This window comes from Homo sapiens, chromosome 10 (assembly GCF_000001405.40).
Source record: "Homo sapiens chromosome 10, GRCh38.p14 Primary Assembly".
Lineage (NCBI taxonomy): Eukaryota > Metazoa > Chordata > Mammalia > Primates > Hominidae > Homo > Homo sapiens.
Window position 1 is genome coordinate 100055238 of NC_000010.11, and position 12255 is coordinate 100067492.

A 12255-nucleotide genomic window follows, 5' to 3' on the forward strand; every position below is an offset into this window, starting at 1 on the left:
AAAAAAAAAAAATTTGTAATGTTGTGCGACCATCATCACCACCCATCTGCATAACTCTTTTTATCTTAAAAAACTGAAACCCTATATCTATTAAACAATGATTCTCCATTATCCCCCCCCCCAGCCCCTGGCAACCACCATTTTATCAACACTTTTCATCTCTATAATTTTGACTACTCTAAGTACCTAATATAAGTGGAATAATACAGTATTTGTCTTTTTGTGGATGGCTAATTTCACTTGGCATAATGTCCTCAAGATTCATCCATGTTGTAGCATGTGTCAGAATTTCCTTCCTTTTTTTGAGATGGAGTTTCGCTCTCGTTGCCCAGGCTGGAGTGCAATGGCGCAATCTCAGCTCACCATAACCTCCACTTCCCGGGTTCAAGCGATTCTCCTGCCTCAGCCTCTCAAGTAGCTGGGATTACAGGCATGCGCCACCACACCCAGCTAATTTTGTATTTTTAGTAAAGACAGGGTTTCTCCATGTTGGTCAGGCTGGTCTCAAACTCCCAAACTCAGGTGATCCGCCCGCCTCGGCCTCCCAAAGTGCTGGGATTACAGGCATGAGCCACCACGCCTAGAGACAATTTCTTTCCTTTTTAAGGCTGTATAATATTCCACTGTATGGATATACCACATTTGTTTATACAGTCATCCACCAATGAACACTGGGTTGCTCCCACTTTTTGGCTATTGTAAATAATGCTGTTACAAATATGGATGTGCAAATATCTCTTTGAGGCCCTTATTTCCGTTCTTTTGAATATATACCCAAAAGTGGCATTGCTGGAGCACATAGGAATTCTAATTATTTGAGGAATTGCCAGTAACTGTTTTTCATAATGATTGTACCACTTTACATTCCCATTAATAGTGCACAAGGGTTCCAATTTCTCCACATCCTTGCAAACATTTGTGAAGTTCTGTTTTTTTGATAGCAGCCATCCTAATCAATTTGAGGTGGAATCTCACTGTAGTTTTAATTTGCATTTCCCTAATGATTAGTGGTGCTGAGCATTTTTCATATTCTTTTTGTTGGTTTTGTATTTGCAGTTGTGTCCATTTCAAGGAACCCTTTTGTCCCCTAGATATCTGCATGTTTCTGTCCCTCACCTCCTTGAAATTTTTGTTTAAATGTCACCTCCTCTGTAAGACTTTCTTCATAGCATTTCTCTTTTAACATGTTATACAATTTATTGCTTACTGCCTGTCTTTCCTCACTAGAAGGTAAGTTCCATATGGGCAGGGATATTTGCTTATTTATTCATAATTCACAGCATATAGTACAGTTTCTGACAAATAGTTGTGCTTGATAATTTTTTTTGAGAAGGCTCTTGCTCTGCTGCCCAGGCTGGAGTGCAATGGCATGATCACAGCACACTGTAGCCTTGACCTCCCAGCACAAGACAAGCGATCCTCCCACCTCATCCTCCTGTGTAGCTGGGTCTACAGGAGCATGCCACCATGCTTGGCTATCTTTTTTTTTTTTTTAGTAGACATGGGGTCTAGCTATGTTGCCCAGGCTGGTCTCAAACTCCTGAGCCCAAGTGATCCTCCCATCTCAGCTTCCCACACTGCCGGGATTACAGGTGAGAACCACTGCGTTCAGCTGCTCAATAATGTTGAATGAATAAATCTCAATGGAAGAAGACGCCCAGATCTATTGGACTGAGTCAGAGCAAAAGTCAGACCTGAACCAGTGAAACACCTTGCCTGCCATTGAGAAGCACTTCTCTTTTTGCAAACATGAGAGTTAACAAATGAGATTTTACCTGTTCCAGGAACTGGATTAGGGCTTCCCGATTACCCAGCCACTCCCGCTGTAACTCCTCTTCGGGGGGAAACTTGTCGCAACTCAGTTCCAGCGTGATCTCAAAGCAGTTGGTATGGAGATAATTAAAGTCTTGCATTCCTAAGGGAAAGAGGGCAGCAGCAGATTTCCATAACCAGGTTCCCACCCAATGCCCCATCTCATCTCTCTCTCTCTCTTTTTAAAATTTTCTGTTTTTATTTATTTGGGAATTACCTTTTAATTTTATTTATTTCATTGGCACATAATGTGTACATATTCATGTACATCACATAATAATATGTACATATTCATGGGGCACACATAGTGACGTTTCAATAGACACATGTATAGTGATTGGTGTAAATGAGTGGGGCAAGAGTCCGAGGAGATTAGTTGTGGCAATAAAAATAATCAGGGAAATTAGTATAAGGGACCAGGTTCGTCCCTTAATGTTATGTATCGTTATTATTTGTTTTAAGGTGAGTTGAAGTAGTCATTGTTGAGTGGTGATTAGTCGGTTGTTGATGAGGTATTTGGAGGTTGGGACCAGTAAGGGGGGAAATAGGATGATTGGTACTGTGGCGGGTAGGCCTAGTACTGTAGGGGTAATGAATGAAGCGAATAAATTTTCGTTCATTTTGGTTCTCAGGGCTTACTGTAGTTTTTTATTTTAATAAATTTTGGTGAGGTGGGCAGATGGCAGTGTGTGTTTAGTATTTTTAGTTGGGTGATGAGAAATAACGTGAGGAGTATTGGGGTGATGATAGCAGGTCATACAGTGGTATTTAGCTGTGGCATTTCACTGTAAAGAGATAATGATTCTCTTAGTCTTTAACTTAAAAGGTTAATGCTGGGTTAGCTTTACAGTGAACTCTGGCGAGGGCTAATCAGGCTAATTAGGCTAATTAGAATATCCATCCTCCCAAACATTTATCATTTCTTTGTGTTGGAAACATCCAGCACCCCCTTCATTACCTTCTTTTTTTCTTTTCTTCATCAACTTCTATTCTACCTCTTGACCTCTATTTCTTTCTTTCCTCCATAACATTTTTCCCAAGTTCCCAGTTCACATGCCTCTCTCTCTGCAGTTTCGTTTCCTCTCTTCATAAATGCCCCTTTTGTCATCTTCATCCTTTATGTTTTTTTTCCATTTCATGACTGAATTTCACTTCTTGTCCCTTTTAACATTTCCAAAGTCTGCATATTAGCTGTGCCTTACTATAGACTATGCACATGACCTGTTTTTAAAAGAATAGATTTTTCTCCTTAAACTACAATGTTCTTCAGACCTGGGAGGTTAGGAATGAGATTAATATTTTGCTTTCACATCCCTTCTCCTATCTAAGAACACAATATTAATCTGAAAATACCCATCCCAGAAAAACAGACTCCTGAAGAAGCAGAAGACAGCTATATTTTCTTCTTTTTCTATAAAATACTTGCTTGTTCTGATCTTCCACATTATTCAATTGAATCAATTACTTTTTAATATGTTTCTCATTATTAGGATGGTTATTTACATTATAATTTCATTTGGGTTAAAAATTATCCACTTAAAAATGTCTGTACTACCCAAAGTGATCTACAGATTCAATGCAATCCCTATCAAAATCCCAATGATGTTTGTTGCAAAAATAGAAAGCCCATCCTAAAATTCATATGGAATTTTAAGCAACCCAGAAGAGCAAAAATAATCTTGAAAAAGAAGAACAAAGCTAGAAAAACAAAGCTAGAGACTCACAATTTCTGATTTTGAAGCTTACTACAAAGCTACAGTAATCAAAACAATGTGGTACTGGTGTAAAGACAGGTATATAGATCAATGGAAAGGAAGACAGCCCAGAAACCCTTGCATATATGGTCAAAGCAATTTTGACAAGAATGCCAAGACCATTCAATGGGGAAAGGACAGTCATGTCAACAAATGGTGCTGGAGAAACTGGATATCCAAATGCAAAAGAATGAAGCTGGAGCCTTACCTAACACCATATACAAAAATTAACTCAAGATGGATTGGCAACCTAAACGTAAGACCCAAAACTATAAAACTCTTAGAAGAATATATAGGGCAAAAGCTTCATGACATTGGATTTGGCAATGATTTCCTGGATATAAAATCAAAGACACAGGCAACAAAAGAAAAAAAATAACAGATTAGACTTCATGAAAATGGAAAAATTTTGTTCATCAAAAGACAGTATCTCTAGGACAGAATAGGTGACGACAGAATCAAACTGACCAACAAACAAACAAATACAATGTCAACAGAGTAAAAAGGCAACCATGGAATGGGAAAAATATTTGTGATACATATATCTGATAAGATATTAATATTCAGCATACACAGAGAACTCCTAAAACATAACAATAACAACAACAACAAAACCCAAACAACTTGATTTTTTAAATGGGCAAAGGACTTGAATAGACATTTCTCCAAAGAAGGTATATAAATAGCCAATAAGCACATGAAAAGATGCTCAATATCACTAATCATTAGAGAAATGCAAATCAAACTACTGTGAGATATTACCTTGAACTTATTAGGATGGCTACTATCAAAAAAAAAAAAAAAAAGAGTTGGTGAGGATGTGGAAAAATTGAAACTCCCGTGCACAGGTGGTGTTTTCTATGGAAAACAGTATGGTAGTTCCTCAAAAAAATTAAAAATAGAACTACCTTATGTCCAACAGTTCCACTTCTGGGTTTATATATCCAAAAGAACAGAAATCAGGGTCTCAAGGAGATACTTGCACATCAGGTTTGTAGCACCATTATTCACAAAAGCTAAAATGTGAAAGCAACCCAAGTGTCCATTGGTGGATAAATGAGAAACAAAATGTGGTATAAACGTATAATGGAATATTGTTCAGCCTTAAAAAGTAAGGAAATTCTGACAAACGCCATAACATGGATGAACTTTGAGGACATTATGGTAAGTGAAATAAGGCATTCACAAAAAGACAAATATTGCATGATCCCACTTATATGAGGTACTTAGAGCAGTCAAAATCATAAAGACAAAAAGTAGAATGGTGGTTGCCAGGGGCTGGGGTAAGGGGAAATGGAGAGTTATTGTTTAATGGGTATAGGGTTTCAGTTTTACAAGCTGAAAAGAGTTCTGGAGATGAGTGCTGGTGATGACTGTACAACATCACAAATGTACTTAATAATACGGAATCATATGCTTAAAAATTATTACAATGGTAAATTTTATGTTATGTATATTTTACCACAATAAAAATGAAGCTGGGCATGGTGGCTCATGCCTGTAATCCCAGCACTTTGGGAGGCTGAGGCGGGCGGATCACTTGAGGTCAGGAGTTTGAGAACAGCCTGACCAACATGGTGAAACCCCGTCCCTACTAAAAATACAAAAATTAGCCAGGTGTGGTGGCAGGTCCCTGTAGTCCCAGCTACTTGGGAGGCCGAGGCAGGAGAATCGCTTGAGCCGGGAGGCAGAGTTGCAATGAGCCAAGATGGAGCCACTGCACTCCAGCCTGGGTGACAGAAAGAGACTCCAACTCAAAATAAATAAATAAATGAAGATGAAAAAAATTATCACTTACTTTTTAAGCTGATGAATGCAAGCAGCTGTTACAGAAAGAATGGGGAAAGTTGAAGAATAATAACTACAGCCTATTAAATTGGCTCTCTCCAAATAGTATGGAGGTTCCTCAAAAAACTAGAAATAGAACTACTAGTTGATTCAGCAATCCCACTGCTGGGTATATACCCAAAACAAAGGAAATCAGTATGTTGAAGAGTTATCTGCGCTCCCTTGTTTGCTGCAGCACTATTCACAATAGCCAAGATTTGGAAGCAACCTAAGTGTGCATCAACAGACGAATGGATAAAGAAAATGTGGCACATATACACAATGGAGTACTATTCAGTCATTAAAAAAAATAAGATCCTGTCATTTGCAAAAACAGGGATGAAGCCAGGCACAGAAAAACAGACTTTGCATGTTCTTTCTCATTTGTGGGAGCTAAAAATTTAAATAATTGAACTCATGAAAATAAAGAGGAAGGATGGTTACCAGAGGCTGGGAAGGATGGTGGGGGTGGGGAGAATGGGGATGGTTAATAGATACAAAAAATAGTTAGAAAGAATGAATGATAGCACAAAAGGGTGACTACCATCAGCAATAATTTGCTGTAACTTTTAGAATAACTGAGGGAGTACAATTGGAATGTTGGTAACACAAAGAAATGAATGCTTGAGGGGATGGACATGTCATTTACCCTGATGTAATTATTACACATTGCATGCCTGTATTAAAATATCACATATACCCCATAAATATATACACTTCGTATGTATCCATAAAAATTAAAAAATGCTTGAATAAAATAAATAAGTAAATTGGTTCTCTCCATGCATTAGAATCACCTAGAAGGCTGAAACTTCTGGCTAAATACAGCTTGCTGGGCTTCACCCTCAGAGTTTCTGATTCAGTAGGTACGAGGTGGGGTACCACTTATTAGAAATGTACATTTCTAGTAAGTTCCCAGCTCATGCTGATATGCTAATCAAGAGACCACACTGTTGGAAGAACCATTTTGATAAATTTAATGACTTTGGAATTGTACCAGCTTAATTTAGGGCAATGATTCTCAGTGGAGGCATGGGCCTTGCTCTCTCAGAGGATGGAGAGGGAGAGGGAGGAGAGAGAGAAAAAAAGAACAAGCATAATTTGAAAAAGTATATTGGTTATTTTCAATTTGGAGGGCAAAAAATATTTTGCTTTCCTAATGCAAACTAAAGAAAGTAACTTTAAAAAAACATTTAAAATTACGGATGTATTTATTTATTTATTTTTCAGAGACAGGGTCTCGCTCTGCTGCCCAGGCTGGAGTGCAGTGTCATGATCATAGCTCACTGTAGCCTTGAACTCCCACCTTAAGCCATCCTCCCACCTCAGCCTCTCAAAGCGCTGAGATTACAGGTATGAGCCACTGCGCCCAGCCGTGCCTTGTATTCAAGCGAGTTTTTGTCCCCAGTCTACCCTCCCAGTACATGGCAACTCCTCAGTTTTGCACCTCTCTACTCTCCACAGGACCAGCCACCAACTCAGTTCTCACCAATCTGCTGCCTGGGCCATGGCCAGGTCAGATTTGAAGGATGGGGAAAGACAGGTGCTAGAGAATGATTCCTAAAAGAACTCAGCTTCTTGCTCCAGACTCTTCTCTATTCTTCAATCCAGTGAAGGCTCATAAACGGAGGTTCTATCTTGACCCCTGGTCATGGGGAAGGCCCAGGGGATAGAGACAGAAGTCTCTTGTGGAGGTTTCTGCTCTTGAAGGTTACATTATCAATGGCCAATGTCCATGGCAAACCCCTGCTTGTGGGGGCCTGGCAGTTAGGGTCCAGGGAATGTATCTCAGGGGAACTGGTTGTGCCCAGGCCAGCTCCTCTGCTCATCTGTTGTTGTGTGAGGCATACTACTGTGCTACTTTTTAAAATACAGTTACACCATTTATAAGCCAGGCATTTCCAAATGCCTTATGTGTATTATTTTATTTAATACTCATATTAAAATTACGAGGCAAGTATTCTTTCTTTTTTTTTTTTTTGGAGTCTCACTCCGTTGTCCAGGCTGGAGTGCAGTGGTGCAATCTTGGCTCACTGCACTGCAGCCTTGACTTCCTGGGCTCAGGTGATCCTCCCACCTCAGCCTCCCCATTAGCTGGGACTACAGGTGTGCACCACCATGCCCACCTAATTTTTCTTTTTTTTTTTTTTGGTAGGGATGAGGTCTTGCTATGATGCCCAGGCTGGTCTCAAACAACTGGCCTCAAGAGATTCTCCCTTCTCGGCCTCCCAAGGTGCTGGGATTATAGGCATCAGTCACCATGCCTGGCCTTATTATTCTTAATTACAGATGAGGAAACCAAAGCACAGAGAGAATAAGTAATTATCCATCCCAGAGCCACATGACTAGTAAATGGGCATGAGAGTTTCAACCCAATCTACTCTCAGATACCACAAATGACTACATTATTTTCCTCCTATGCCCTAATCTATTGTGTAAACCACCAGTTTTACAGGACCAAAAGGTGTCCCTACTTTAGTTATTTTTTGTTTTTGTTTTTGTTTTTTCGAGACGGAGTCTCACTCTGTCACCCAGGCTGGAGTGCAGTGATGCGATCATGGCTCACTGCAAACTCTGCCTCCCGGGTTCATGCCATTCTCCTGACTCAGCCTCCCGAGTAGCTGGGACTACAGGCGCCCGCCACCACACCCGGCTAATTTTTTCATATTTTTAGTAGAGACGGGGTTTCACTGTGTTAGCCAGGATGGTCTCGATCTCCTGACCTCGTGATCCACCCTCCTCGGCCTCCCAAAGTGCTGGGATAACAGGCGTGAGCCACTGTGCCCAGCCATCCCCACCTTAGTTTTAAAGAATCACAATATGATCACTAAATGCCAACCTGAGACTTCCTCATTTTCCAGATCTCAACTTGAGTGCAAAATTCTATGCTATTCCCATTGTTTCCCTGAGAAAACTGGGAATTTAGAAGGAGAAATGAGCACTATTCCACTTCAGCTTGAGCAGTTCCCAGGACTCCCCTTACCCTTGCTGAGAGAATACCAGGAAGCCCCATTGGTGATGCCATCTGGGAAGTAATCTCCGCAGTTCCAACCTTGGAACATCCATCCATGTGCATAGGAGTAGACCTTGGCCAGCTAGAGGAAAAGCAGGAGGAAAACGACCTTGATGATTCCCAACTCAAATGGCAATGCTCCTACTCACAACTAGGTTGAAGCCAAGAAGCCCTGCTGGGTATATAAACAGTGGATTATTTGCTTTAGTGAAAGAAAATAGGATCAGGGATAGAAACAGCGTGTGTATGTGTGTGTGTATGTGTGTATATGTAGGTGGGTATGTGTGAATGCATGTGTGTGAATGTGACTGTGTGTCTAAGAGAGTGTATGTGTGGTAGACTAGAGTTAGGAGATCTGTATTCTGATTTTGTCACTATCTTGGGGCTGAGTTTTCTCTTGTGCAAAGTGAGGAGTTGCACTAGATGATATTGAAGGTCCCTTGTTTTTGTGCCATTTTCTAGCCGAATTTTGTCAAAGAAATCAAGGAGTAAGTAAGGCAAGACTTCTCCAGTAAAAGTAATGCATATTTAGGGGGTGAGAGTCGTGCGTTGCAGGGAGAGGAATATATTTGAACTCTATAATTCTCCTTCATTACTATTTACTATACAGTGGACAAAGTGAGATCAATGGAGAAAAAAACAATGTGCTATTCACCATGTAGTTCATTAATGATTAATACTTAATATCATTAATGTTTATTTAAATTATATAGATATATTATATATTAATATATTAGTATATAATTTTTTTTTTGAGACGGAGTTTCACTCTTGTCACCCAGGCTGGAGTGCAGTGGCACAATCTTGGCTCACTGCAACCTCCGCCTCCCAGCTTCAAGTGATTCTCCTGTCTCAGCCTCCCAAGTAGCTGGGATTACAGGCACCCACCACCGTGCCTGGTTAATTTTTTTATTTTTAGTACAGACAGTGTTTCGCCATGTTGGGCAGGCTGGTCTCAAACTCCTGACCTCAGGCAATTCGTCTGCCTCGGCCTCCCAAAGTGCTGGGATTACAGGCGTGAGCCACCGCACCAGGCCAATAATTACAAATTTATTATATTATGCCATTTTATATATTAATATAAAATTAATGTTAACATATCGTTTTGAACTGTTATTTAAACCTTTTTCATGTAGTCTATTTTTCTTTTTTTCTTTAAGGCCCCACCTAATACTATCACAGTCTATTTTTCATTAATATGGATTTATTATCATAAAATTCTACTTTAGACCCCCCCAAAAATTCACATTTAATGACACTCGTGCTATTAGTCTTCGGGCATATTTCTTGCTCATCATTAGCCTAAGTATTTTCTGCATCGTGGTAATTACTATGAAGCTTTCTTTGTATTTACTTTGTTATGAATCTATGGCTTATCATTCAAAACCAAATGTCATTTACTAGACTGTAAGCTCCTCACAAACAAGCGGTATTTTCAATTATTTTCTGTGGCCTCGCACTGAAAAGGGTTCTGTGTTACTGACCTTAAGCTCACCTCCTGAGCCCCAAGTTCCCCTGGCGGGACAAGCTGCTTCTCCACATACCTTCTGGAAGAGCTTGTCGTCAGGCGTGGGGGTGCTGGCGGTGCGGCGGACCCCTCGGACCCGGTGCTCAAAGGACTTGTCATACGGGTAATTGGCCACCACCGCCCCTCCGTGGAGATTGGCTGAAAGAACAAAGTTGAAGGAGTGCATCCACCGGATCACCGCCCGGGTCTCGGGTTCCACCTGGGAGGAGGCGAGAGGTTGGCGGTGAAGGGCCAACTGGGGCTACCAAACAAACGGCGGTTAGAGTAAGTCTGTCAGGAAGTGGCCTGAGGAGATAAAATGTCTGAATGAAACATTGAGCGTCCTGGCGGATATGAAAAGTGGAGATGGGGAAATGTTGACCTTTGGAATGATGGTTTCAACAATGGCGTGTATAGAACTTTTTTCAAAATGAAATCTTATGTGGAATCCCAATATACAAAAGAGGTAAAGAGAGAGCATTTAGGGCAAGGAAACTATTCTGTATGATACCATAATGGTGGCTATATATCATCATACCTTTGTTGAGACCCATAGAATGCACAATACCAAGAGAGCAGTAAGGTAAGTATGGACTGGGAGCGCTCATGGTGAGTTAAGGTAGGTTCATGACTGACTGTGATAAACACACCCCTCTGGGGTGGGATGTTGATGGTGGGGTGGGTGGAGTGGGGTGGGGAGTATATGAGAACTCTGTACTTTTTGCTCAATTTTGCTGTGAACCTAAAACTACCCTAAAAAATAAAGTCTGTTGAGAGAGAAAGGGAGAGAGAGAGAGAAGTTTTTTTTTTTGTTTTGTTTTTTGAGACAGGATCTTACTCTGTCACCCAGACTGGAGTGCAGTGGTGCAATCTCAGTTCATTGCAGCCTCCACCTCCCGGACTCAAGCGATCCTCCTACCTCAGCCTCCCTAGTAGCTGGGACTACAGGCATGCAACACCACACCTGGCTAATTTTTGTATTTTTTGTAGAGATGGGGTTTTGCCATGTTACTGAGGCTGGTCTTGAGCTCCTCAAGCAATGTGCCCATCTCCACCTCCCAAAGTGTTGGGATTACAGGCGTGAGCCACCATTCCCAGCCAAAAAAGAGAAGTTCTGTATGAAGAGATATCATGATTGGAGAGCTCAGAGCCCCAACTTGGCCTCTCTCTGGACCCTAGAAAAGGGTTTCCCATTTTACCCACTGCTCCAGTGACTTCTAAGTCATCTTAGCAGAAATTTAGGACTCCAATAAATCAATCTTAAAAATGCTAGTTTACAGTGATGGTTTTCAACCTCCTTCCTCCCTGCTGTAATATTGACATGTAGAACACACTCCTGTGGTCAAATCCAAATTTCATGGGTTAGACATACTGTCAGATGGGCCAGTCTTGGCTAAGCAGTGAAATTCCACCTTTCTATTGCATATTATATTGCTAGTGAGTGACAATATTCCAAAGAAAGCCTTGAATCCACTGGGACTTGCAGTGTAAGTAAATAATTTACAGTCTACAGCATTTTTCCTCCTCTCAGGATGAACAAGTTTAGAGATTATGTAGTGTTACTGTGTTAATGGCTCCTTCTGGACCAAGGTCAGCTCTACAGGCTCCATCTTTTCCATCCCAAGGGGACTGGATAAATAGGGTTGAGTCTTAATCAGAATGAATATAATTGCGAGGGCACCAGTCTTGGTCTGTGACCAGGGCTCAGACCCTCTGGGGCAGTTCTGTCTTTGTGTCCTAAGCCTCTATCAGAACAAGGCCAGCTTTTCACTGTTCCTCTTCCTCAAGGATATTCCATCAGGAGCGAGGGAAACCTCTTTGCTTTTCCCCCTAAAATTTAGACAGAGGATTGAGTGGGAGCCTAGTTATCATTGATTCAATTACCTTATTTTACTTAGAGAAACAAGTTTATTACATCAGAACATTCTTCTGGTTGGATATCCTGACTAACACGAAGTTCTTTGCTTTTTGGTTTTGGTTTTGGTTTTTTTGTGAGATGGAGTCTTGATCTGTCGCCCAGACTAGAGTGCAGTGATGCCATCTGCAACCTCCGCCATCTGGGTTCAAGCAATTCTCCTGCTTCAGCCTCCCAAGTAGCTGGGATTATAGGCGCCCACCACCACAGCTGGCTAATTTTTGTATTTTTAGTAGGATGGGGTTTCACCATGTTAGCCAGGCTGGTCTCGAACTCCTGACCTCAGCTGATCTGCCCGCTTCTGCCTCCCAAAGTGCTGGGATTACAGGTGTGAGCCACTGCGCCCAGCCTTACAAAGTTATTTTTTATTTACTATTTACTTGAACCAAGAGGATAGTTGCTGTTTGAAATCTAACATGTCAGCATG

At 41.0% G+C, this 12255-nt stretch overlaps 1 protein-coding gene and 1 pseudogene across 1 annotated transcript in view; both read right to left on the reverse strand.

The window, feature by feature from the left end:
* CPN1 (carboxypeptidase N subunit 1) overlaps nt 1–12255 on the reverse strand; it is a 39677-nt gene that overhangs the window by 13045 nt on the left and 14377 nt on the right. The window contains exons 4-6 of the mRNA NM_001308.3: nt 9951–10133; nt 8377–8488; nt 1776–1915 (exon numbers count right to left, since the gene is read on the reverse strand). Of these exons, the coding sequence (NP_001299.1) occupies nt 1776–1915; nt 8377–8488; nt 9951–10133 (435 nt within the window). The remainder of the gene's footprint in view (nt 1–1775; nt 1916–8376; nt 8489–9950; nt 10134–12255) is intronic.
* MTATP8P4 (MT-ATP8 pseudogene 4) lies at nt 2400–2554 on the reverse strand (annotated as a pseudogene).